The 27,758-nt window shown below is 45.1% G+C and overlaps 1 protein-coding gene across 10 annotated transcripts in view, besides 2 other annotated features; it reads right to left on the bottom strand.

The window, feature by feature from the left end:
- The window catches only part of C2orf92 (chromosome 2 open reading frame 92), a 39,126-nt gene that overhangs the window by 9,945 nt on the left and 1,423 nt on the right, over positions 1-27,758 (bottom strand). For 2 of the 10 annotated variants that reach the window (XM_024453111.2, NM_001410919.1), the window contains exons 1-4: positions 23,288-23,409; positions 17,194-17,277; positions 4,129-4,227; positions 2,795-2,866 (exon numbers count right to left, since the gene is read on the bottom strand). In XM_024453111.2, the coding sequence (XP_024308879.1) occupies positions 2,795-2,866; positions 4,129-4,227; positions 17,194-17,277; positions 23,288-23,333 (301 nt within the window). In that variant the 5' untranslated portion in view covers positions 23,334-23,409. Of the gene's footprint in view, positions 1-2,794; positions 2,867-4,128; positions 4,228-13,749; positions 15,704-17,193; positions 17,278-17,400; positions 17,492-18,564; positions 18,667-21,622; positions 21,792-23,287; positions 26,219-27,758 lie in introns of those variants that run through there. The other 8 variants (NR_038386.2, XM_024453110.2, NM_001351368.2 and 5 more) reach the window with 8 other exon arrangements.
- Positions 1,629-2,428: an enhancer, noted in NCBI's record as "H3K27ac-H3K4me1 hESC enhancer chr2:98307157-98307956 (GRCh37/hg19 assembly coordinates)". NCBI's record gives its function as "activates a minimal SCP1, AML or CMV promoter by ChIP-STARR-seq in primed H9 embryonic stem cells {active_cell/tissue: H9 hESC(primed)}" and the evidence as "EXISTENCE:reporter gene assay evidence [ECO:0000049][PMID:30033119]".
- Positions 3,964-5,163: an enhancer, noted in NCBI's record as "BRD4-independent group 4 enhancer chr2:98304422-98305621 (GRCh37/hg19 assembly coordinates)". NCBI's record gives its function as "activates an origin of replication core promoter dependent on BRD2, P300/CBP, MED14 and CDK7 cofactors, and independent of BRD4, by STARR-seq in HCT116 cells {active_cell/tissue: HCT116}" and the evidence as "EXISTENCE:reporter gene assay evidence [ECO:0000049][PMID:35650434]".

Raw genomic sequence — 27,758 nt, 5'->3', positions numbered from 1 at the left:
AACATTATACTACATGAACTAAACCAACCACAAAAAGACAAATACTGTATGATTCAACTTACATGAGATATCTAAAGTAACACAACTCACAGAAACAGAAAAAAATACCCAAAAAGTATCTTTTGGACAGATATATTCTCATTCTCAGTATAAATATATGTATGCATACATATTTACATGTATGTGTGTAGATGGAAGGCTAGATATACAGATAATCTCTCATTCATATTAGTCCTATAACCAGACTCTTAATCAGGAAACTCAAGAGGCATTTCTCCAAGAGCAAGAACAAAGCAGGATGCCCACTGTATCTCCAGCAACCATTCAAGATTATCCTAGAGGTATTAGCAATGCAATTAAACATGATAAATAAATCAGGTAGAGGCATAACAATAGGTAAAGATGTAAAACTGGCTGGGCATGGTGGCTCATGCCTGTAATCCCAGCACTTTGGGAGGCCAAGGCGGGCAGATCACCTGAGGTCAGGAGTTGGAGGCCAGCCTGGCCAACATGGTGAAACCCTGTCTCTAATAAAAATTCAAAAATTAACTGGGCATGGTGGCATGTGCTTGTAGTCCCAGCTACTTGGGAGGCTGAGGCAGGAGGATCACTTGAACCTGGGAGGAGGAGGTTGCAGTGAGCTGAGATCATGCCACTGCACTCCAGCCTGGGCAACAGTGTGAGACTCCATCTCAAAAAAAAAAAAAAAAAAAAGAAGTAAAACTATCTCTATAACAGTATACGTAGAATTGAACAAGGCAATAGGACATAAAATTAATATATAAAAATCAAGCCTTCCTATACCCAAACATTAAGTAGGTAGAGAGTATAATGATAGAGAAACCCCCTCTCTTACAATAGCAACACAGAAAATTAAGTGACTTAGGAATAAACTTAAGAAGATACATGTAAAAATCTATGTAAGGAAAACTTTAACACACAGTGAAAATAAACTTGAAGAACTGGAAAGGCATTCCCATTTCTAGCATAGGATGACCTAACATCTGTTTTCCCACAGTGAATATTGTAGTATAAATTTGATGCAATGCCAATCAGAATACCATAGCCTTTTGATGAAGTTAGACAAGTTGATGTTAAAGTTCACATGGAAAAACAAACATGCAAAAATAGCCAGGAAAACAATGAAAAAACAAAAACTGCAAAAGGGGAACTAGTCCGACAAGACATTAAAACACACTATTTTCAGGCGCGGTGGCTCATGCCTGTAATCCCAGCACGGAGTTTCGCTCTTGTTGCCCAGGCTGGAGTGCAGTGGCGCGATCTCAGCTCGCTGCAACCTCTGCCTCCTGGGTTCAAGCGATTCTCCTGCCTCAGCCTCCTGAGTAGCTGGTCTTGAACTCCTGACTACAGGGGAGCTACATCACCCAGCCAGGAATAAGGATTTTTAATAAGCTCTTCCCATTCCCCACCCTGACCTCCGGCTGATGCATGGTGCGGCCCGGGAACTCCTGGCCAGGTTCATAATCCTGCACCCAGGAAAGACCACATATTTACCAGCTTGGACAGTGACCTATTTGGCCTGGTTTTTTTCTTTTAAATCTTTTAAGTCTTTCTAGGGGAGAAATGCTTCATGGATTCTAGCTGCTCATCCTGTCTGTGGAGCCAATCTCCCTCCAGCATGATCAGATAGCTCAGATGAGCCTCTGCTCCTAGCTGGAGGCAGCGCTTTCCCACACTCCTGAGGAGGAGGGGAGAATTCCTCCGGGGCAGCACCTCAGGAATGTGCTCAGCCACTGCCCAGCCCCACCACCCCAGCGGGGGAAGGACCTGCCCAGGTCAGTTTGGGAGGAGGCACCAGGTGTCTGCGGCTAGCTCTCTGTCCCTCCTGGCTGGCATCCGTCTGCCTGCAGAGAATAAACATTCTGATCTGCTCCTCCATGCTGTACATATCACAGAAGCAGACTCGCACAGGGTGGGATTTGGGGAAACCATGGGTATCCTAAACCTTACCATTGATTAGGGAACTCTTCATAATTCAGGGTGAAGCACACACGTTGTACAGCCAAGTACAAGTACTCTCTTGTGGCCAGGTGCGGTGGCTCACACCTGTAATCCCAGCACTTTGGGAGGCCGAGGCAGGCGGATCACGAGGTCAGGAGTTCAAGACCTGCCTGGCCAACATGGTGAAACCCCGTCTCTACTAAAAATACAAAAATTAGCTGGGTGTGGTGGTGTGCGTCTGTAGTCCCAGCTACTTGGGAGGCTGAGGCAGAGAACTGCTTGAACCCAGGAGACAGAGTTTGCAGTGAGCTGAGATGGTGCCACTGTACTCCAGCCTGGGCAACAGAGTGAGACTCTGTCTCAAAAAAAAAAACAAAAAAAAAAAAACAAGTACTCTCTTGTACTCTCTACAAGAGAGTCTGAGCACCATCTGCCAGACCCTCAGCTCTGAACTCAGGTCAGGTAAAAGGAAAAGGAGGGGCCAGGCCCGGTGGCTCACACCTGTCATCCCAGCACTTTGGGAGGCCAAGGCAGGTGGATCACGAGGTCAGGAGATCGAGACCATACTGGCTAACACGGTGAAACCCTGTCTCTACTAAAAAATACAAAAAATTAGCCAGGCGTGGTAGCGGGCCCCCATAGTCACAGCTACTTGGGAGGCTGAGGCAGGAGAATGGCGTGAACCTGGGAGGCAGAGTTTGCAGTGAGCCGAGACTGCACCGCTGTACTCCAGCCTGGGCAACAGAGTGAGACTCCGTCTCAAAAAAAAAAAAGAGGAAAAAGAACAATGACTTACCAACCCCCAATTCCAATTTTATGCATTTGCATTTACCTTTATCAGGAATTTTGTCCACACTGCCAAGGAAATATTCTGGTTTAGGAGAATTCCAAGCAATGCTGGTTCCTTTGATAAGACACATGAATAAAAAACAATAAGAAAAAGGGTATTCATCAGTACACATTTGCAAGCACCTTGGGCCCATATTTTGTATTCCATTTTTTGGTTTTTTTGTGGTTTTTTTTTGTCTTTTGAGACAGAGTCTCGCAGTCACCCAGGCTGGAGTGCAGTGGCAAGATCTCGGCTCACGGCAACCTCCGCCTCCCAGGTCCAAGTGATGCTCATGTCTCAGCCTCCCAAGTAGCTGGGACTACAGGCATGAGCCACCATGGCTGGCTAATTTTTTTGTATTTTTAGTAGAGACAGGGTTTCGCCATGTTGGTCAGGCTGGTCTCGAACTCCTGACCTCAAGTGATCTGCCCACCTCGGCCTCCCAAAGTGCTGGGATTACAGGTGTGAGCCACCGCGCCTGGCTTGTTTTCCATTTTTAAGTTGAAATGCTAATATAGAACTCAACTTGTGTGAGCAAAATGTGTGTTTGAAAGTGAATGCCTTGATGTAGACAGTGGTGCCGCCTCACTGCCGATTGCAGAGGTGCCCAGGCAGTTGTCCTGGGCTACCCTCAGGGAAACTACCCTCAGGAATTGGGGTGCAAACATCTGTCTGCAGAATACCAACACAGTGCCCATTCCCCCTCCCTGCCTGGGGCACTTGTACCCACGGCTGGCAGATTTCCAATACACTATTCTATCCTTATTACTGTGAGCAAATACCTATCTTAATTCCCAAAGTGCTAAATTTTTCCCATAATATGAAGCTGCTTTGGGGAAACAGTGTGTTCTTCACATGTGTCATTTCTATGGGTGTGCTTAAGGTAAGTCATTTTTTGGTCTTGTTTTATCATCCACTGAATGGGGTATTAATGACTGCACTAATTCTCTCAAACCACGTTGTGCACTTAGAAGGATTCGTGTGTTGGGTTGAAAGTTAGGATGCTGCTGGGGGCTCCTGTTGTCGGGAGTGGGGAACCCCACTTGCAGATCAGGTTTCTGTCCTCTGAATGCCTCCAGGGTGGCAGAACCTGCCTAACACTGCACATCAAGGATCACCCCAAAATACAGGGATATTCACACTTTGGAGCACAGATTCCATAGTGAGTGGAAGGTTATAGAGAGGATTTCAGACAGTTGTTTCCTTCATATCTCAATTTGGCTTTGCCCCACCAGTAGTTGGTTTAAAGACTGCTAGTATGATAGTATAGCACATTTAAGACAACACATAGGCCTATAGAAATGTGTGCACTTATTATGTTAATGACATACACTTGCCTTTTCTCATGTCTGTCTTTGTAATGGATCTGACTGCTGTTGCTTCGTTAAATGATGGGTCATACGGAAACTTTGGAAACACCTGCAGTAGAATTTCATCTCCAGTGGAGCAAACAAAGGCATGTTAATACAGCAACGCAGGATTGATATATTTTGCTCTCTAAGTACCTAAAGCAGTCTATGAATACAGTGAATACATGACGCAAACGCCACAGATATGGGACGTTATTCCCTAAAATGCCTTGTCTTGGGAAGGAAAACTCCAATTACCTAAATCATTTCCGGAAAATTGTGATGTCTGAGACATCCTGGGCAGTAAACACTGCCCGCTAAAGATATATGGCCCCAGATCTCCTGATACTTAGTGCCCTAATAACTCTTCTGGTTTCTGTTGTCATTCTGATGCACCTTTGAGGCTGTTCGCAAGATGACTCATAAAAATAGGGTAAAGTTTGTGAGGGCACAGATGAATCAGAACAGATTCTAAAAGCTCAGAAAGCTCTTTCTTTATAAAACTGTTGCTAATTCATGAGGGTTACATTTTTGAAATACATTAAGTTCTCCTTCCCTTTTAAGTTCTCAGGCTTCTGGCTTCCCTGGGAAGAAGCAGTTTTACCTTCCCCTCTAGGCTTTCCTTGCTAAGTCACAGAAAACAGCCCTCACAAAGCCCACTCATCCTATATTTATTCTCCGTGTATTTCCAGGGCTGTTGGTCCTCGGTGGTTTCCACTCGCTTGATGTAACAGGAGCTCACCACAGAGACACCAGAAAATGAACCATTGGGGTCACCAGGACAATGAGGAGCTGCTCTCACCACCTGTCCTTGATGACCATGCTGACCTACGAGTCCCTGGAAATGCTGCCCAGAGGGAACTGCAGAGTTGAGCCGTGGCCTCCAATGCCAAGGCCCACCTGGTGTGAGCTGGGCTGGTCAGTGGACTCTTGAGGGGTGATGGGAGCTTCCCAAACCCCCAACCAGACTCCCATCTTCAGATGCAATCACTCCCCTCCTACACATATGGGGCCGAATTCAGAGACACTGGGGTCACCTGCAAGGCCGAGAACAAGGCTTCTGCCTCCTAGACAGCAGGTGCTGAGGGCACAGCTAGGGGGACTGCAAGTGCTACCTGCATCTGCTCATGCATCCCCTCCTGGTCACCTGCCAGGCAGTTGTCTATGCAGACTGCCCGAGGCCTCTGTGATGGCTCCCGTGGGGAGGAGCAAGCCCAGCGCTCCTGACACGGACAGCTGCCGGAACGGAATAGAGGCCCATCGGGTGTCGAGAGATCTGCTCCCTTGCAAGCAGGAATGAACAGGCATCGCTCTGTGATCCAAATGCCTCCTAACCCGGGGGGAAGCATCAGCGCCACTCTCCCAGTTGCTCCTTCTCACACCTAAGGTGACCCTCAACCTTCACTCCTGATGCACAGCCCAGGCACCCTCAGGAGAGACTTCACTGGCCTTTGGACAGCTTCCTTCAGCAGACAGCTGTGGTTCAGAACCCTTTTCTCCATCTCAGCTCTCTGCTAAAGAGGACTTCCTTGGGCCTTGGCTTTGCTTTGTTGTGGTGGTGGTGGTGGTGGTAAAATACACTTAACATAAAATTTCCATTTCTGCTATTTATTTAGAGACAAAGTCTCGCTGTGTCACCCAAGCTGAACTGCAGTGGTGTAATCATAGCTCACTGCAGCCTTAAACTCTTGGCCTCAAGCAATCCTCCCGCCTCAGCCTCCTGAGTAGCTGAGACTACAGGCATGTGTCACCACACATCCGGCTAATTTTTTAATTTTTTATAGAAACAGGGTCTTGCTATGTTGCCTAGGCTGGTCTGGAACTCCTGGCCTCAAGTGATCCTCCCACCTCAGCCTTGCAAAGTGTTGAAATTACAGGCATGAGCCACCATGCCTGGCCCATTTTTACTCTATTTAAGTGTACAATTAAGGGTATTCAAAACATTCACAGTGTTGTGTAAACATCACCACTGTTTATTTCCAGAACTCCAGGCTGGAGTGCAGTGGTGCAGTCTCAGCTCACTGTAACCTGTGCCTGCCAGGCTCAAATGATCCTCCCACCTCAGTCTCCCAACTAGCTGGGACTACAGGTTCACGCCACCACACCCAGCTAATTTTTTTTTAATTTTTAGTAGAGACAGGGTTTCACCACGTTGGCCAGGCTGGTCTTGAACTTCTGACCTCAAGCAATTCACTTGCCTTGGCCTCCCAAAGTGCTGGGACTGAGGCGCTCGGCTTCCAGAACTTTTAAATCAACTGAAACAGGGCCAGGCACGGTGGCTCATGCCTGTAATCCCAACACTTTGGGAGGCCGAGGTGGGCAGATCATGAGTCAGGAGTTCGAGACCAGCCTGGCCAACATGGTGAAACCCCATCTCTATTAAAGATACAAAAAATTAGCGGGGCATGGTAGCTCATGCATGTAATCCCAGCTACGCGGGAGGCTGAGGCAAGAGAATCGCTTGAACCGGGGAGGCAGGGGTTGCAGTGAGCTGATATCGCGCCATTGCACTCCAGCCTGGGTGACAGGGCAAGACTCCATCTCAGAAAAAAGAAAAAAAAAAATCGACTGAAACAGAAACTCTACACCCATTGCTATGATTTAAATGTGTCCTCAAATTTCAGGTGCTGGAAATTTGATTCCCAATGTGGTCGTCATGTTAGGAGGTAGGGCCTAATGGAGGTGTTTGGGTCATGGAAATTGTGCCCTCATTAAGAGGTTAATATGGTTATCACAGGAATGGGTTAGTTATCGTAAGAGTGCATACCATGTAAAAGGACAAGTTCAGCCCTCCCTTGCTCTCTCTTTCACCCTCTATGGCATTTCCGCTTTCCACCTCTATGGCATTTCTGCTTTCCACCATGGGATGATGACACAGCAAGAAGGTTCTTGCCAGATGCTGGCCCCTCAGTCTTGGACTTCCCAGCCTTCAGAATTGTGAGCCAATAAATTTCAACTTATTACAAATTACCTAGGCTGTGGTATTCTGTTATAACAGCACAAAATGGACATGTAGCAGCTGCACCATCTTACCTTCCCACCAGCAATGTATGAGGGTTTCAATTTCCTTCATCCTCACCAATATCTGTTATTTTTCTTTTTAAAAAAATAGCCATTCTGGCTGGGCACGGTGGCTCACACCTGTAATCCCAGCACTTTGGGAGGCCGAGGAGGGCAGATCACCTGAGGTCAGGAGTTCGTGACCAGCCCGGCCCACATGGCAAAACCCCATCTCTACTAAAAATGCAAAAATTAGCCAGGTTTGGTGGTAGGCATCTATAATCCCAGCTACTAGGGAGGCTGAGGCAGGAGAATTGCTTGAACTTGGGAGGTGGAGGTTGCAGTGATCCGAGATTGCGCCACTGCCCTCCAGCCTGGGTGACAGAGCAAGACTTTGTCTCAAAAAAAGAAAAAAAAAGGCCAGCACAGTGGCTCACGCCTGTAATCCCAGCAATTTGGGAGGCCAAAGCGGGAAGATCATGAGTTCAGGAGATTGAGACCATCCTGGCTAACACAGTGAAACCCCGTTTCTACTAAAAATACAAAAAATTAGCCGGCCATGGTGGCAGGCGCCTGTAGTCCCAGCTACTCAGGAGGCTAAGGCAGGAGAATGGCGTGAACCTGGGAGGCAGAGTTTGCAGTGAGCCGAGATCACACCACTGCACTCCAGCCTGGGCGACAGAGCGAGACTTTGTCTCAAAAAAAAAAAAAAGAAAGAAAGAAAGAAAGAAAAAAACCAAAATAGCCATTCTAGGCCGGGCGTGGTGGCTCATGCCTGTAATCCCAACACTTTGGGAGGCCGAGGTGGATGGATCACGAGGTCAGGAGATCGAGACCATCCTGGCTAACACAGTGAAACCCTGTCTCTACTAAAAATACAAAAACTTAGCCATGCGTGGTGGCGGGCGCCTGTAGTCCCAGCTACTCGGGAGGCTGAGGCAGGAGAATGGTGTGAACCCGGGAGGCGAAGCTTGCAGTGAGCCAAGATTGTGCCACTACACTCCAGCCTGGGTGACAGAACAAGACTCTGTCTCAAAAATAAAAATAAAAATAAAAAATAAAATCCATTCTAAGAAGCGTGAATAGTGATATTTTGCATTTCCCTAATGACTAATGATGTTGAGCATCTTTTTATGTGTTTATTGGCCATTTGTATATCTTCTTTGGAAAATAGCTATTCAAGTTATTTGCCCATTTTTGGAGTGGGTTGTTTGTTTGTTTTGTTGTTAAGTTACAGGAGTTTGCTGTGTCTTCTGGATATTGATCCCTCATCAGATATGTGAATTGCAAACATTTTCTCTCATTCTGTGGGAGAAATGCCTTTGATATACAACAGTTTTTAATTTTGATGATGTCCAATGTAGCTATTTTTTCTCTTTTTGCCTGCTTTTGGTGTCAGATTTAAAACATCACGTGCCTAATTCAAGGTCATGAAGATTTTCACCTATGTTTACTTCTAAGAGACTAATAGTTTAAGCTCATTAATTTAGATCTTTGACCTACTTTGAATTTTTGTATATGGTATAAGGTAATGAGCTAGCTTCATTCTTTTGCCTGTGACCTTCCAGTTTTCCCAGGACCATTTGTCGAAGAGACTGTCATTTCCACTCTGTTGGCTTTGACATCCTTGTTGAAAATCAATTGACTGGCCGGGCACGGTGGCTCATGCCTGTAATCCCAGCACTTTGGGAGGCCGAGGTGGGCGGATCACGAGGTCAGGGGATCGAAACCATCCTGGCTACCATGGTGAAACCCCATCTCTACTAAAAATACAAAAAATTAGCCAGGCGTGGTGGCGGGCGCCTGTAGTCCCAGCTACTCGGGAGGCTGAGGCAGGAGAATGGTGTGAACCTGGGAGGCAGAGCTTGCAGTGAGCTGAGATCACACCACTGCACTCCAGCCTGGGCGACAGAGTGAGACTCCGTCTCAAAAAAAAAAAAAAAAAAAAAATTAGCTGGGCATGGTGGCGCATACCTGTAATCCCAGCTACTAGGGAGGCTGAGGCAGGAGAATGGCGTGAACCCAGGAGGCGGAGCTTGCAGTGAGCCAAGATCGCGCCACTGCACTCCTGCACTCCAGCCTGGGCGACAGAGTGAGACTCCATCTCAAAAAAAAAAGAAAAGAAAAACTGACCATAGACATATGCATTTCTTTCTGAACTTTCTATTCTATTCTACTGGTCTATGTGATTAGCCTTATACTAGTATCACACTGTTTTGATAACTGTGCTTTGTAGCAAGTTTTGAAATGAGAAAGTGAAATTCCTCCAATTGTTTTCTTTTTTTTCAGGACTATTTTTGCTGTTTGAAGCATTTGAAATTCCATACGAATCTTACGGTAGATTTTTCTTTTGCTGGGAAAAAAGCCCTTGAGATTTTGATAGGGATTATATTGAATGTGCAGATCACTTTGGGCAATTTTGACATCTTTTTTTTTTTTTTTTAATAGATACCAGGTCTTATTGTGTTGCCCAGGCTGGATCTCAAACACCTGGGCTCAAGTGATCCTCTTGCCTCAGCCTCCCAAGTGCTAAGATTACAGGTGTGAGCCATCATGCCAGGTCAATTTTGACATCTTAACAATATTAAGTTTTTCAGTCCATGAACATGAGATTCTTTGTTTCTCTATTTTCTTTTATCAGTGCTTTGTAGTTTTCAGTACTGGTATAAGTCTTTCACTTTCTCGGCTAAGTTTATCTCTAAGTATTTTATTCTTTTTGATATAATCGTAAATGGAATTAATTGTTCTCATATCTTGTTTGGATTATTAGTGTATATATCGTTAGTGTATAAAAACACAGCTGATTTTTGTGTGTTCAATTTGTACCCCACAACTTTGCTAAATGCATTTACTGGTTTTAATATGTTTGTGTGTGTGTGTGTGTGTGTGTGTGTGTGTGTGTGTGGAGTCTATATGGTTTTCAACATATAAGATCAAGTCATCTGCAACCAGAGATAATTTTATTTCTTCCTTTCTGATTTGGATGCCTCATTTCTTTTTTTTGCCTAATGACTCTGGCTATGACTTCCAGTACTGTATTGAATAGAATTGGTGAGAGCAGGCATCCTTGCCTTGTTCCTGATCTTTGAGGAAAGCTTTCAGTCTTTCAACATTGAGCACGATATCATCCATGGGTTTTTCAAACAGGCTTTTATTACGTTTTGGTAGTTTCCTTCTATCTCTAGTTTGTTGAGTGTTTTGGTTTTTTTTTTCAATCATGAAAGGGTGTTGAATTTTGTCAAATGCTATATCTGCATCAATTGAAATGATATTTTTTCTCCTTCATTATATTAATGTGGTATATTACAGTGATTGATTTTTATTATGTTCAACCATCCTTCTGTTCCAGAAATAAATCCTTCTTGGTCTGGTGTATAGTCCTTTTAATAGGCTATTGGTTTTGGTTTGCTAATGTTCTGTTGAGGATTTTTCTGTTTATATTTACAAGAGACATTTGTTTTTAGTCTTCTTGTAGTGACTTTGTCTGCCTTTGGTATCAGGGCCATACTCCATACTGGCCTCTTAGAGTAAGCCAGGAAGTGTTTCTTCCTCTTCAGCTTCTTGGAAGGGTTTGAGGACTGGTGTTAGTTCTTATTTATAGCTTTTGTAGATTTTGCCAGAGAACACATCTAATTCTAGACTTTCTTCGTTGGAAAATTTTGATTACTGATTCATTCTCCTTACTTGTTATGTGTCTATTCAGATTTTCTTATTTCTTCTGGAGTCAATTTTGGTAGTTCGTGTGCTTCCAGGAATTTTAAAATTTCATCTAGGTCATCCAATTTGTGAGCATACAAATGTTTATATTCTTCTCTCATTAAATGCTTTCTATTTCCAGAAAATTAGTAGTAATATTCCCACTCTAATTTCTGAATTCATAATGGATCCTCTTCTTTCTTCACCTATCTAGCTAGAAGTTTGTCAATTTTGTTGGTCTTTTTAAGTAACTAATTTTGGGTTTCATCAGTTCTCTTCTATTGTTTTTCTGTTATTTCACTTCTTTCCTCTGTATACTTTACTATTTCCTTCTTTCTCCTAGCTTTCAACTTAATATGCTGTTCTTTTTCTAGTTCCTTTAGGTGTACAATTAGGTTATTTATTTAAGATCCCCCCCCTTTTTTTTTTGAGACAGAGTCTTTCACTGTTGCCAGGCTGGAGTGCAGTGGCACCATCTCGGCTCACTGCAAGCTCCGCCTCCTGGGTTCATGCCATTCTCCTGCCTCAGCCTCCCAAATAGCTGGGACTACAGGCGCCCGCCACCACGCCCAGCTAATTTTTTGTACTTTTAGTAGAGACAGGGTTTCACCGTGTTAGCCAGGATGGTCTCGATCTCCTGACCTCGTGATCCGCCCGCCTAGGCCTCCCAAAGTGCTGGGATTACAGGCGTGAGAAGATCCTCTTTTTTAATGAATGCATTTATATCTATAAATCTCCCTCTTGGCATTGCTTTCACTGCATCCCAAGTTTTGGCATGTTGTGTTTAATTTGCACTTATCTCAAGGCAGTTTCTAAATTCCCTTGTGATTTCTTCTTTGACCCATTGATTATTTAAGAGTGTGTTGCTTAATCTCCATGTGTGTAAATATTCCAGATTTCCCTCTGTTGTAGATTTCTAGTTTCATTCCATTGTGATCTGAAAAGATACTTTGTATTATTTCAGTCTTTTTCAATTAATGAAGATTTGTGTCCTAACATATGGGCTATCCTGGCAAATATTCCATATGCTCTTGAGAAGAATACATATTCTTCTGTTGCTGGGTGGATTGTTCTGGATATGTCTGCTAGGTCTAATTGGTTTAGAGTGCTGTTCAAGTCTATTCCTTTACTTACTGTTCCTCTGTACAATTCTTTTTTTTTTTTTTTTTTTTTTTTTTTGAGATGGAGTCTCGCTCTGTCTCCTGTGCTGGAGTGCAGTGGCGCCATCTCGGCTCACTGCAACCTCTGCCTCCCTGGTTCAAGTTATTCTCCTGCCTCAACCTCCCAAGTAGCTGGGACTATAGGCGCATGCCACCATGCCCAGCTAATTTTTGGGGTTTTTTGGTTTTTGTTTTTTTTTGAGACGGAGTCTCGCTCTGTCTCCCAGGCTGGAGTGCAGTGGCGCAATCTCGGCCCACTGCAAGCTCCACCTCCCGGGTTCATGCCATTCTCCTGCCTCAGCCTCCTGAGTAGCTGGGACTACAGGTGCCCACCACCACGCCTGGCTAATTTTTTGTATTTTTAGTAGAGATGGGGTTTCACCGTGTTAGCCAGGATGGTCTCGATCTCCTGACCTCATGATCCGCCCGCCTCGGCCTCCTAAAGTGCTGGGACTACAGGCGTGAGCCACCGCCCCTGGCCTCTTCTGTCTAGTTCTATTCATTATTGAGAGGAGGATACTGAAGTCTCCAACTATCCTTGTCTCTCATAAACCATGTGGTTTAACATCTATTTTGTCTGAAAATAATACAGCCACCTCAGCTCTCTTTTGGCTATTATTTGCATGAAATACATTTTCCATTCTTTTACTTTCAACCTCCTTGTATTCCCTAAGTGAATCTCTTGGAGACAGTAGATACATGGACAGGTTTTTAAATCCAATTTGCAAATCTCTGCCTTTTATTAAGAGTTTAATCCATTTAAATTTAATGTGATTACTGATTAAAAAGTATTTAATCTGCCATTTTGCTCTTTTGTTTTTGTTTTTGAGATGGAGTCTCACTCTGTCGCCCAGGCTGAAATGCAGTGGCATGATCTCGGCTCACTGCAACCTCTGCCTCCCATGTTCAAGTGATTCTCCTGCCTCAGCCTCCCAAATAGCTGGGATTACAGGCATGCACCATCACGCTCAGCTAATTTTTGTGTTTTAGTAAAGACGGGGTTTCACCATGTTGGCCAGGCTGGTCTTGAACTCCTGAGCTTAAGTGATCTGCCCACCTTGGCTTCCCAAAGTACTGGGCTTACAGGCGTGAGCCACCAGGCTCAGCCATTTTGCTATTTGTTGTGTATATGTGTGTTGTGTTTTTGGTCATTTAGGGGTTTGTGTTTTGTGTGTGTTTTCTTTTGCTCGTCATTCCCCCATTACTGCTTTTTTTAAAAGTTGGTTCTTTATAATGTTCCATTCAACTCTTTATTTCTTTTTCTTTTTTTTCTTTTTTTTTTTTTTTTGAGATAGAGTTTCACTCTTGTTGCCCAGGCTGGAGTGCAATGGCGTGATCTTGGCTCACGGCAACCTCCGCCTCCTGGGTTCAAGCAATTCTCCTGCCTCAGGCTCCCGAGTAGCTGGGATTACAGGCACCTGCTGCCCGGCTAATTTTTGTATTTTTAGTAGAGATAGGGTTTCATCATGTTGGCCAGGCTGGTTTCAAACTCCTGACCTCAGGTGATCCCCCCACCTCAGCCTCCCAAATGGCTGGGATTACAGGCATAAGCCACCCTGCCTGGCTTCGACTCTTTCTTTTACTCTTTTGTTCCATATTTTTTTAGTTATTATTTACTGGTTACCTTGGAAACACCTAAACTAGTTAAAATTTGTTTAAACTTAAACACCTAGTATCTTAAATTTTTAACAACTTAGCTTGAATAGTATCAACTTAGTTTCAATAGTATACAAACACTCTGCACACATATATCTCTATTCCCTTCCCTTTATATTGTTGTTATTACAGAGTCTATCTTTATACACTGTATGACCATTAACAGATGTGTAATTATTATTTCATGCATTCACCTTTTAAATCATATTTTTAAAAGGCAGAAGTTATAGATGAAACCTAAAGTACAATAAGACTTTTAGAGCTAGTAGTTACCTTTACCAGCATTTTTTTTTTTCTTATGTCAAGTGACTGTTAAATGTCCCTTCATCTCAGCCTGAAGGGCTCTCTTTGCCATTTCTCATAAGGCGGGTCTCTCAGCTTTTGTTTACCTGAAAATGTTCTGTTTCTCTTTTATTCTGGAAAGATAATTTTGTCAGATAGAGAATTCTTGCTTGACAGTATTTTCCTTTTTACTTTTTTTTTTTTTTTCCAAGAAAGGATCTCACTCCCATCACCCAGGCTGGAATGCAGTGGGGCAATCTCAGCTCACTGCAGCCTGGACTTCCCAGGCTCAGGTGATCCTCCCACCTCAGTGTGCTGAATAGCTGGGACTACAGGTGTGCACCATCACACCCAACTAATTTTTTTTTTTTTTTTTTTTTAGTAGAAACAGGGTTTTGCCGTATTGCCCAGGCTGGTCTCGAATTCCTGGGCTCAAGTGATCTGCCCACGTCAGCCTCCCAAAGTGCTGGGATTACAGGAATGAGCCACCATGCCCTGCTGATTACATTATTTTTCTTTCAGAACTTTGAATGTGCCATCCTACTGCCTCCTACCCTCTGTGGTTGTTGCGGAGAAATGAGTGGTGAATTTTATTGAGGGTTCCTTTTATGCTGAGTCACTTATCTGTTACTGCTTTCAAGATTCTCTTTGTGTCTGGATTTTGACAATTTGCTAATAATGTGTTTCACTGTGAATCTCTGAGTATTCTGCTTGGAGTTCATTGAGTAACTTGAATGTGCACATTCATGTCTTTCAACATATTCAGGAAGTTTGGGGCTATTCTTCATTCAAACATTGTCTTCATATCTCTCTGTCTTTCCCTTCTGAGACTCCCATAATGTATATTTTAGTATGCTTGATGGTGCCCCACAAGTCCCACATGTTCAATTCATTTTCTTTTTTTTTTTTCTTTCTGCTTCTCAGGCTGGATACTTTCAATGTCTTATCTTCAAGTGTGCTGATCCTTTCTTTTTTTTTTTATTTTTTTGAGGCAGAGTCTTGCTCTGTTGCCCAGGCTGGAGTGCAATGGCGCGATCTCGGCTCACTGCAAGCTCTGCCTCCTGGGTTCATGCCATTCTCCTGCCTCAGCCTCCCGAGTAGGTGGGACTACAGGCACCCACCACCACGCCCTGCTAATTTTTTGTATTTTTAGTAGAGACGGGATTTCACCGTGTTAGCCAGGATGGTCTTCATCTCCTGACCTCATGACCCATCTGCCTCGGCCTCCCAAAGTTCTGGGATTACAGGCATGTGCCAAGTATTCATTTATTACACTTTTCAGCTCTAGAACTTTTCTTTGGCTCTTTTCAATAATTTCTATCTCTTTATTGATATTATTTTATTTATACATTGTTTTCCTGATTTCCTTAAGTTATTTGTTCATGGTCTCCTTTAGTTCAGTGAACATTTTGAAGATGGTTGATTTAACATCTTGTGTAATAATTTTAATTCCCAGGTTTCCTCAGGAACAAGTTCTGCCAAATTCCTTTTTCCTGTGAATGAGCCATCCTTTCCTGTTTCTTTGTATGTTTTATAATTTTACGTTGAGAGATGGACATTCTGTGTATTACATTTTGATAACTCTGGAAATCTAATCCTCTCTTTCAGTGATTGTTGATTTTTGCTTATTGAAGGCTGAAGCCATCTTTTTGTAACTTTTCCAAACTAGTTTTGCAAAGTGCGTACTTCTTGTTGTGTGAAAGTGCTGAATTTTCTGTTTTCTTATCTCTGAAGTTAGTCAATGACCTGATAAAAGTTTCCTTAAGTGTCTATCTCCAAAAAGAGAAAAACAAAAAACATTATTTCCTTAAATCCCCTCAACAGGGCTGCTTGGAAGCCTCTTCAGCCCATAGAGTTTTTTAACTGGCATTTAATAATGCCAGTTAAAACAACTGTCAGTTTTAGTGCTAGCCCCTTGGAGCTCTAAAGTAGCAATCAGCAATCAAAATACGCGCCCTGAGTTTTAGAAGACAGGTCTCTATTGCCCACCCTGGCACCAGCAATCCTCACTAGGAATGTGGACTGCTATCCACACTGCTGCCCGTCACAGGGCTTGGGAATGGAGGATGGCAGCCACTACCCAAAATGTTGAAATTCGGCAGCCTCTTCATCAAGCTCACTCTTGGACACTGCAAGTGTTCTACTAGACACCAATATTCCATAGCTACTTAACATAGTTCTTGCCAGCTCAGTTGTTGTTTTGGTAAAGGGACAGATTCCTGGAGCTCCCCACCCCACCATCTTCCATCTGGGCCTTAGTTTTTCTCAAATAGTAAATTAGAGGCTTGGGGTAGATGAATGAGTCACAGCCTAGAATCACCTGAAGGGCTTTAAAACCTAGTGATGCAAAGGTCTCACCCCATCTCACAGAATCTGATCACTGAAAGTGAAACAAGATGTCTCTCTCTTTTTTTTTAATAGACAGTACAGCTCTGATGCCCAGGCTGGAGTACAGTGGCACAATCATAGCTCATGGCAGCCTCAAACTCCTGGGCTCAAAAGATCCTCCCACCTCAGCCTCCCGAGTAGCTGGGACCACAGGCACATGCCACCACACTTGGCTAATTTGTCGTGTGTCGGGGAGGGGGGCGTTTTTTTAGTGTTTTTTGATATGTTGCTGAGGCTGGTCCTGAACTTCTGTCCTCCAGCAATCCTCCCACCTTGGCCTCCCAAAGCACTGGGATCATAGGTATGAGGCACCGCACCCGGCCAAGGGGTGTCTTTTTTTTTTTTTTTTTCTTTTTTTTTTTTTTTGAGATGGAGTCTTGCTCTGTCGCCCAGGCTGGAGTGCAGTGGCATGATCTCGGCTCACTGCAAGCTCCGCCTCCCGGGTTCAAGCAATTATCCTGCCTCAACCTCCCGAGTAGCTGGGATTACAGGTGCACACCACCATGCCCAGCTAATTTTTGTATTTTTTGAGTAGAGATAGGGTTTCACCATGTTGGCCAGGCTCATCTCGAGGGCCTGGGGTGTCTCTTTTAAACAGTCTCCCCAGGGTATTCTCACACTACCAGATGGTAGCCCTGCTCCTGCTCCATAGATCACTCTTTGAGGAGCAGGATCCTTTCCAGGTGTTTATTTTCCACGTTTAGCTTAATTTATCGAGGTTTTGACTCATAGAGAAACAGATTCTAGCCTCAAGGCAAAGCACTTGCTTTCCCCTCAAAGCAGCAGGAACAGGCTACTTGAGAGACAACCAGGGACAAGCATGCAACTCTTCAAACACAGGCTAAAGGCTTCATAGCAGGAGGCTACTTACCAAATATTTTAGCCAAATGTTCCTCTCGCTCATTTGAACCTGATGCAAATGCAGCATTGTTCAAGCTCTTCTGTTGGGAATAGCCTAAGGGAAAATAAACCATGGCTGTGATTAAGTCTTTCATTGGGTCTGCAGCTGTTCCCTTCAGATTGATACTCTTCTGCACGGGATTTTGAGGTGAGCATCATGCACTTGGCCTGAACCCACCTATTCTGAGTGTCACAGAGCATTCATGAAGTGTCTGCAAGCATCTGAAGTTCCAACACAACACCAGGGGCTAAGCTCATTTTCACATAGTCTGTTGACAGACAATATGCATAAGCATTGAGAGATTTGTGCACATGGCAGGTTTAATGCTACAGGAAAACGGGTAGAAAGGCCTACATGGTGTATGGCAAATGATTTCAAGTACAACCACTTTGATCCAATAAATGACAATGCACAGTTCTCTGTTAATAAGACACTGATAAATCATTAAGAATAGACATACTTAATCATGCAAGCACTTTGCTAAAAATGTGTTCCTCAAAATGTATCTGCCAAGGGAGCATCATAAAACATGGTGCAGGGCAAGCTATTGAGATTATGCAGTGAAATATTCATATGTTTTCTCAATGGCTTATGGAATGCATTGGCAGAGTGATTAGTTACTAAATTGCTTTACTGAGAGTCTTATAATTCCTGGCACACATAGCTGGCTTATTCTGATAACTAATTACTCATTGTTACTTTTCTTCCTAATTCACATGATGTCCACCTTACAAGGTTTCTCTTTTCTTCATGTGATTTGGGGTTAATATGCATTATTTTTGCATATGTGGCCAGCTGCTTCCTCTCAGCATTGGCACTGGAGCATCAGTGCTGGAAGAGAAATCAGCTCTGCTTCTCTGGGCAAATATTTTACAGAGGATGAGGTGGAATGATGGCAGAGGTGACAGGGAGGGACGCAGGAAGACATTACTCTCCCAAGCCGGTGACTTGGGCACTCCTGGGCAGTGACCTATAAAGCGCTGGTGAACAGAAAGTGATTACACTTCTCATAGCTCCTGTTACAAGGAACAGTGAACCCCACTTGCAAACCGGGTTTCTGTCCTCTGCACAGCCTCCAGAGTGGCAGAACATGCCTGACACTGCACGTCAGGGATCACCCCAAAATACAGGGATATTCACACTGAAGCCTATAGACTCCCATATTGGGAGGAAGACTGTAGAGGGGATTTCAGAGAGTTCTTCACATCTCAGTTTGGCTTTGCACCCCCTCCACCACAGTAGTTAATTTAAGGAATGCTAAAATGCTAGCATCGCATATTTGAGATAACACAGAGGTCTGTAGAGGTATGTACACATGTCAGGTTAACGACATATACTTGCTTTTTTGTGTGTCTCTCTTTGTAATGGATCTGACTGCTGTTCTTGTTTCATCAAATGATGGGTCATACGGAACCTTGGAAAACACTTGGAGCACAATTTCATCTCCAGTGAAGCAAACAAAGGCATGTTAATATCAGCAATATTTTGCTAAGTACCTAAAGCAGACTATGAATACAATGAATGCATGACACAAACTCAATGGATATTGGACATCATGCTGTAAATGCCTTGTCTTTGGGAAGGAAACTCCAACTACCTAAATCATTTCCAGAACATTTTAATGGCATGAGACATTTGGGGCAGCAAACACCGCCCACTAAAGATATATGACCCCAAATCTCATGATACTCAGTGCCATAATTCTCCTTCTTCTTCCTCTTGTCATTCTGCCACACAAGCACTGGGGAGGCCCCCAATGATATCAGAGAAGCGGGCCTTTCCCGACCTCCTGCGCCAAAGCCACAGTGGCCTCCCCCAGATTGCTATGACAGAAGGAAAATAAACCACTCTTTGTTTAAGCCACTATACGTCAGGTTTTCAGGAAATTGCAGCCAGGTGCATTCTTAACCGGTACAGCAACTATGGCAACACACGGACTGCCCTCACCGGGATGATCTTGACCACTCAGTTTTATGACCCATTATTGTACAGAGGAACCAAGCCCACCCTCCTAAAGATCATAATGCTCCTGGAGACTGGCCTAGAGTAGAAGACTTCAGATCATTCACACAAGCTTTCACCCAGCCTTATCTCTGCACAGAAACAGTATGAGGTGCTGGGGGTTCAGAGAGGAAGGTGACCTGGTGTGTGGTGTGCCTCCCCGAGCCATCTAGATAGCGGGAGAGGCAGAAGTATATACAGATACAACCAGACATGACACAGCCACACAGAGCTACAAAGCAAGGGCCAGGGAAGACAGGAGGGGAAGAGCTCGGCCTGCTGGGGAAGAAGTGGGCCCTGCTGGTAAGGGTGGGTTCTGGATTCAGTTGACCACAGTATTTATTGAGACCCAAGGTCACTCCTGTTCACCGACATTCGATGTCTCTGTCAACTTCCTTCACCAACAATCTGGCGCTCATGATCTCACTCCAGCCCTGGTAGGCCAGTGTGTGACATGCAAGACACCTGGAAACAGCATCTAGGAAACACTAGCTCATGAGCTACAAGCATCATGAAAAGCCCTTGAAGCAGTCATTGAAGGGGTGCTGCAGACCAGCCATAGCCCACACCAAGATCACACATGACTCACACACTCCACCCCACGCTTCGTGCCACTGAAGAAGGATGTGGAGCAAGGAGCCCAACCCCAGCACTTCCTGGGATGTGACTGCCTGGGACCCGACAGACACAAAGGGGAAAGCTGTCCTCAGAGAGTTTTGAAGCTTGTGTAAAAATGTTCTATATGAAAATTGTACCCACAAAAACAGGGGTAGGAGCCATGGGGGCAGAAACAAAGCAGAATAGATTCTATAAGCTCGGAAATCTCTTTGTTTATAAAGCTGTTGCTAATTCACAAGGGTTACATTTTTGAAATATATTAAGTTCTCCTTCCCTTTTAAGTTCTCAGGTTTCTGGCTTCCCTGGGAAGAAGCAGTTTTACTTTCCCTTCCAGGCTTTCCTTGCTAAGTCACAGAAAACAGTCCTCACAAAGCCCACTCATCCTGCATTCTCAGTGCATTTCCAGGGCTGTTGGTCCTCGGTGGTTTCCACTCGCTTGATGTAACAGGAGCTCACCACAGAGACACCAGAAAATGAACCATCGGGGTCACCAGGACAATGAGGAGCTGCTCTCACCACCTGTCCTTGATGACCATGCTGACCTACGAGTCCCTGGAAATGCTGCCCAGAGGGAACTGCAGAGTTGAGCCGTGGCCTCCAGTGCCAAGGCCCACCTGGTGTGAGCTGGGCTGGTCAGTGGACTCTTGAGGGGTGATGGGAGCTTCCCAAACCCCCAACCAGACTCCCATCTTCAGATGCAATCACTCCCCTCCTACACATATGGGGCCGAATTCAGAGACACTGGGGTCACCTGCAAGGCCGAGAACAAGGCTTCTGCCTCCTAGACAGCAGGTGCTGAGGGCACAGCTAGGGGGACTGCGAGTGCTACCTGCATCTGCTCATGCATCCCCTCCTGGTCACCTGCCAGGCAGTTGTCTATGCAGACTGCCCGAGGCCTCTGTGATGGCTCCCGTGGGGAGGAGCAAGCCCAGCGCTCCTGACACGGACAGCTGCCGGAACGGAATAGAGGCCCATCGGGTGTCGAGAGATCTGCTCCCTTGCAAGCAGGAATGAACAGGCATCGCTCTGTGATCCAAATGCCTCCTAACCCGGGGGGAAGCATCAGCGCCACTCTCCCAGTTGCTCCTTCTCACACCTAAGGTGACCCTCAACCTTCACTCCTGATGCACAGCCCAGGCACCCTCAGGAGAGACTTCACTGGCCTTTGGACAGCTTCCTTCAGCAGACAGCTGTGGTTCAGAACCCTTTTCTCCGTCTCAGCTCTCTGCTAAAGACTTCCCTGGGCCTTAGTTTTTCTCACATGTTCAGTGGAAGGTTCAGAGTGGAGACCAATGAGTCTCAGCCTAGTGTCCCCTGGAGGGTTAGAAAACTACAAATGTGAAGGTCTATCCCCACACCCCAAAATCTGATGTGGGGTGTGTGTGGAATGTCTCAATTGTTAAAAAGAGGATTGCCCCAGGGGTTTTCATGCTCAGTTAGGGCTGAGAACCCCTGGAGGAGGTTCAGCTCGGCTTTGGGGCCTCAGAGCAGAAACTGGCGAGGCAGGTGTGTCACAGCTAGTGTGAGGTGGCATCTGACGCCGCAGTCCCACATGGCCCTGCTCTGCTCCACTGATGCTCAGTAGGGTCCTTTTGAGGTGTTTATCATCTGTTTTGCTTAATTTCCTGAGACTGTGACACGTAGACAGATTCTAGCCTCAAGGAAGAGCACCTGCCTTCCCTTCACAGCAGCGGGAACAGGTTACCTGGGAGACAATGAGGACCATGCACGCAACTCTTCAAATCCAGCCTGAGGTTCCACAGGGAGTGGGGTAACTCACCAAAGATTTTAGCCAAACCTTCATCAGGATTTTTTGAATTTGAGGAAAATTCAGGCCAGGTGCCGTGGCTCACGTCTTTAATCCCAGCACTCGGGGAGGCTGAGGTGGGAGGATCACTTGAGGTCAGGAGTTCGAGGCCAGCCTGGGAAACATAGGGAGACCCCCGACTCTACAAAAAATAAAAATTAATTACCTGGGCGTGGTGGTGTGCACCTGTGGTCCCAGCTACTCAGGAAGCTGAGGCAGGAGGATCCATTGAGGTCAGGAGTTCATGACCAGCCTGGCCAACATGATGAAATCCCATCTCTACTAAAAATTATATTTTAGTAATTACTAATTTACTAGTAACTTACTAATTTAGTAATTTATTAGTTTAGTAAATTAGCCAGGCGTGGTGGCACACGCCTGTAATCCCAGCAACTTGGGAGGCTGAGGCAGGATAATCACTTGAACCTGGGAAGCAGATGTTGCAGTGAGCCAAGATAGCGCCACTGCACTCCAGCCTGGGTGAGAGAGCGACACTCCATCTCAAAAAATTAAAAAATTAAAAATTAAATAAAATTAGATAGTGATGCTTCACAACTCTATGAGTATACTAAAAACCACTGAATTATATACTTTGTAAAGGGTAAATTTGGCCAGACATAGTGGTTCATGCCTGTAATTCCAGCACTTTGGGAGGCCAAGGTAGGAGGATCACTTGAGCCCAGGAGTTTGAGACCAGCCTGGGCAACATAGTGAGATCCCTATTTCTACAGAAATTTAAAAAATTAGCTGGGTGTGGTGGTACATGCCTGTGGTCCCAGCTACCTGGAAGGCTGAAGGGAGGATCCTTGGGCCTGGAATGTTGAGGCTGCAATTAGCTGTGATTATGCCACCGCACTCCAGCTCTGGGTGACAGAGGGAGAACCTATCTCAAAAATAATAACAATAAATAGAAAAATAAAATAAAGGGTGAATTTTATTATATATTATATCCTATAAAGTTATTACTAATTTTTTTTTTTTGAGACAGGATCCCACTCTGTTGCCCAAGCTTGAGTGCAGTGGTGTGATCACGGCTTACTGCAGCCTCGACTTTTTGGGCTCAAGTGATCATCCCACCTCAGCCTCCCTAGTAGCTGGGACCACACGCACGCATCACCATGCATGGCTAATTTTAAAATTTTTTATACAGACAGGCTCTCATGATGTTGCCTAGGCCTGTCACAAACTCCTGAGCTCAAGGAATCCTCCTGCCTTGGCCTCCTAAAGTGCTGGAGTTACAAGAGTGAGCCACTGTACCCGGCCTAACCCTGTTATTTTTTAAATAGTGCATATATATAGATAAAATCAGGAGGGTTAGTTAGCATATGGTGGTTCTTTATACTAATCTTTCTACTTTTGCATATGTTTGGAAATGCTTACAGTGAAAAGTTAAAATACGCATGTATGCCACCCTCCTATAGAGCTCTGAATTTTGAGAAAGCTTCAAAGTTAGGAAAATGTTTTCAGTTACTCCCTTCCCCCAAGTAATAAACCCTGAATGGCAGATTTGGGGAGGTATAGAAGGTAGAGTAGGTAAAGCATCTGTGTTCCCCACACTGTGGGAGGGAACGCCCTCCTCTGCCCCACTTAGGCTTGAAGTGAGGCCCATGTTTCTCTCCAGCTGCCACAGCAATATACCTTGGATCCAGCAGAGAACAAAGAAGAGGGCCATGGCTCTGCTCATCTTTGCCTTAGTCCATAAACCATCATGGAGAAGCCAGTCTTCTGATGGCCCTTCAGATTCAGCAGCTGTGGACTCCAGGGTACCACGGAACCTAACGGTCTATGAAGTCATACACGGAAGTGAGGTGGAGCCTGCTCAACCATGAGAAGGGGAAGGGCCTGTGTCTGTGGACAGTGACGGGGGCTATGCTGGTGGCCCTGAAGTGACTGCCTCTCTGCTCACTTCCCTCGGCTCCCTGGTGCCTTCCTCCATCCTGCATGTCCTGAGGGCAACAGGATATTAACCAGGACTCTGAAGTCACAAGTGATAAAACTTCAACTAAATTGGCTGAAGCGAATTGGAAGTAGCTAGAATAGCCAGAAAAATCCTATGATCAATCAAGACATCACAGCCGGGCGCAGAGGCTCACACCTGTAATCCCAGCACTTTGGAAGGCTGAGGCAGGCGGATCACCTGAGGTCAGGAGTTCCAGACCAGCCTGGCCAACATGGTGAAAGCCCGTCTCACTAACAAAGTGTTGCTGCTTATTATATTAGGTAAAATTATAACACCAAAAATAGCATAGACCAATTGATACGCCCATTTTGTTACTCACGTGTCACTATTTCCCTCTATTACATTTTATAAGTATTAAACTGTTTTCAAAGGAAAAATCTATTATAGTACCTTGTACTACACTTTTTTCTAGTTTTTTCTCCATGTTCATTTTGTAATGGGTCCCACAAATTATGTAGCCAGCCCTGCCCTTGAGCCTTCATGTTCTTACAGTGTCTGTTCCATGGCTGAGATGGCAGATATCTTTTAGGGGTAAAAACTTGCACAAAGAGTTATATAGGGCCGGGCACGGTGGCTCACACCTGTAATCCCAGCAATCTGGGAGGCCAAGGCAGGCAGATCACTTGGGGTCAGGAGTTCAAGACCAGCCTGACCAACATGGTGAAACCCCATCTCTACTAAAAATACAAAAATTAGCCAGGTGTGGTGGCGAGTACCCATAGTCCCAGCTACTTGGGAAGCTGAGGCAGGAGAATCACTTGCACCTGGGAGGTGGAAGCTGCAGTAAGCCAAGATCACACCACTACACTTCAGCCTGAGCAACCGGGCGAGACTCTGTCTCAAAAAAGAAAAAAGAAAATAATCTGCATAGAAGTGGACCCGCACAGTTCAACCCTGTGTTGTGTAGATGCTGACTGAATCGTCTCCCAGTTCTGGAGGCTGGAGGTCTGAGATCAAGACGTCAGCAGGGCTGGTTCTTTCTGAGGCTGTGAGGGAAGTCTCTGTTCCAGGACGTGGGCTCAGATGGCCATCTTCTCCTTGGGCTTGCAAGACATCTTCCCTCCATACACACCTGAGTCCACATTTCCTCTTCTAAGAACACAGGATCATATCGGATTAGGGCCTGCCCTAATGACTTCATTTTAACTTGATTTCCTCTGTAAAGACCCTATCTCCAAATACAGTCACATTCTGAGGTTCGGCGGGGTGGCTAGGACTTCAACATATGAAGAGAGGGTACCATGTAATCTGTAACAGCAGGTCATGGTAACCACAGAAATCTTATTTCTCTAAAATACCTTCCAAAACAAAAACAAAAACTAGAATAAAAAATAACAAAGAATATATAAAACAACACAAAACCCACACCCTCACCACAACCACAGGACAGAAAATGTCCAAATTCCAAATGACTGGTAAATAGAAAAATAAATGCTAACCCGGGCTCCATCTCTTTTGCTTCTGCTGCTGGCCTTTGCAAAGAGGAAACCTGGAGGTTGAAGAGGGTCTAAAATCTCCATCCTGAGTTTGCAAATGCTGAAAGCGTAACCTGGTTGATCAGTACAAATACCCAGGGGTGGAAGTGCCCTGGGGACAGGAGATTGGTGAGACTCTCTCACCAATGGACTCTCTCTCCCTCTCTAAAAAAACAATGATGTTTATTCAGGAACGGGCATTACAATGGGAATAAGTATGGATGTGTTCCAGGAGGTAAAGGAAGACATTTTTTAAAGAAAAAATGAAAAGGGTTACATAGGCTTTTATAAGACAATCATCTTTGGGGCCAGGCACGGTGGCTCACACCTGTAATCCCAGCATTTTGGGAGGCCGAGGCAGGCAGATCACAAGGTCAGGAGATCGAGATCATCCTGGCTAACACGGTGAAACCCCATCTCTACTAAAAATACAAAAAATTAGCCAGGCGTGGTGGTGGGCGCCTGTAGTCCCAGCTACTCGGGAGGCTGAGGCAGGAGAATGGCATGAACCCGGGAGGCGGAGCTTGCAGTGAGCCGAGACCGCACCACTGCACTCCAGCCTGGGTGACAGAGTGAGACTCCATCTCAAAAAAAAAAAAAAAAAAAACTTAGCTGGGCATGGTGGCGGGAACCTGTGATCCCAGCTACTAGGGAGGCTGAGCCAGGAGAATTGCCTGAACCCGACAGGTGGAGGTTGCAGTGAGCCCAGATTGCGCCACTGCACTCCAGCCTGGGCAACAGAGAAAGATTGTCTCAAAAAAAAAAAAAATAAAAAAGAGACCTGAAGGTGCCTCATATACTGTTCAGAGACATTCATGCATATAACAGTCTACACTCGGTGTCTGCTTTCTCTTTGCTTTTACTTAGCAATGTGTCCTGATATGTTTCATATGAAATTATATAGCACTCTCTCATTATTTTTAATGGCTACACAGTGATCTATTTTATGAATGTATAAACACTAGATGCAAATGAATACATACCAATGACTTCATCTGCACAAAGTCCAGAAACAGGCAATACTAATATGTTTTCAAAATTCAGGATAGAGGTCACCTCGGAGGAGGAACAGGTCAGAGACCAAGGGGTAGGAGCTGACGGGGGGGCTGTTCATGCTATTAGGAAAACAGGAGCCTAGGAGAGACAGGGTGACACCATTTTAAAATCAACTGCTTTTTTTTTTTTTTTTTTTTTTGAGACAGAGTCTGGCTCTGTCACCCAGGCTGGAGTGCAATGGTGCGATCTGGGCTCACCGCAACCTCCATCTCCCGGGCTCAAGCCAACCTCCCACCTCAGCCTCTGGAGTAGCTGGCACTACAGGCGCACAACATCATGCCCGGCTAATTTTTGTATTTTTTGTAGAGACAGGGTTTTGCCATGTTGTCCAGGCTGGTCTCAAATTCCTGGGCTCAAGCAATCCACCCACTTCAGCCTCCACAAGTACTGGGATTACACGCATGAGCTACCGTGCCCATCTCAACCCCATCTTTTTTTTTTTTTTTTTTTTTGAGACGGAGTCTCACTCTGTCGCCCAGGCTGGTGGCGCGATCTCGGCTCACTGCAACCTCCGCCTCCTGGGTTCAAGCGATTCTCCTACCCCAGCCTCCTGAGTAGCTGGGACAACAGACGCATGCCACCACGCCCAGCTACTTTTTTGTATTTTTAGTAAAGACAGGGTTTCACCGTGTTAGCCAGGATGGTCTCAATCTCCTGACCTCGTGATCTGCCCGCCTCGGCCTTCCAAAGTGCTGGGATTACAGGCATAAGCCACCGCGCCCGGCCCCAACTCCATCTTAAAACTAGCAAGGCACATTCCTTGCTAGTCCCAACCCATGGTCATAAGATGCTATGGCTAAAAGAGCAGTTTAGTAATGCCTGCAAGGACAAAATCCTACAACAACAAAATGTCCAGATGCTCCAATATTGCCTAACAATATATGATTTAAGATAGTTATAGTTACAGGACTCGATGGCTCACACCTGTAATCCCAGCACTTTGGGAGTCCAAAGTGGGTGGACTGCTTGAGCTCAGGAGTTCGAGACCAGCCTGGGCAACATAGCAAAACCCGGTCTCTACTAAAAATACAAAAAAATTACCTGGGCGTGATGGTGCACACCTGTGGTCCCAGCTACTTGGAAGGCTGAGGCAGGAGGATAGCTTGAGCCTGGGAGGTGGAGGTTGCAGTGAGCTGATATCAGGCAACTGCACTCCAGCTTGGGCAACAAGGTGAGACCCTGTCTCAAAAAAACAAAACAAAACAAAATATATATATATATATATATATATATATATATATATAGAGAGAGAGAGAGAGAGAGAGAGAGAGAGAGAGAGAGAGAGAGAGTCATGCTTTGATGTATTTATGCATTAAAATGCCAAGGATAACTTTCTTTAAATCAAAAAGCACTAAATTTTGTTATGCTGTCAGCCCACCCTCATGTAGACATAGCTTAGTTTTTACATAGATAAGACCCCTCTATAAGAAGAGTTTAATATAAAGAGGGTGTGTTCCCCCTCTTGCTTTCTGAGGATGGCCTACTCTGTAACTGAGTAGCTTTCAATAAACAATCGCTTCTCACTGCACTCTGCAACTTGCCTTGAATTTCTTCTGGGCAAGATCCAATAACCCTCCCTTGGGGTCTGGATCGGGACCCCTTTTCCAGCAACAATATT

The sequence above is a fragment of the Homo sapiens genome, chromosome 2, assembly GCF_000001405.40.
Source record: "Homo sapiens chromosome 2, GRCh38.p14 Primary Assembly".
Classification (NCBI taxonomy): domain Eukaryota; kingdom Metazoa; phylum Chordata; class Mammalia; order Primates; family Hominidae; genus Homo; species Homo sapiens.
Note: the sequence above shows the minus strand (reverse complement) of the source record. Positions and strands in the feature narration are given on the sequence as shown.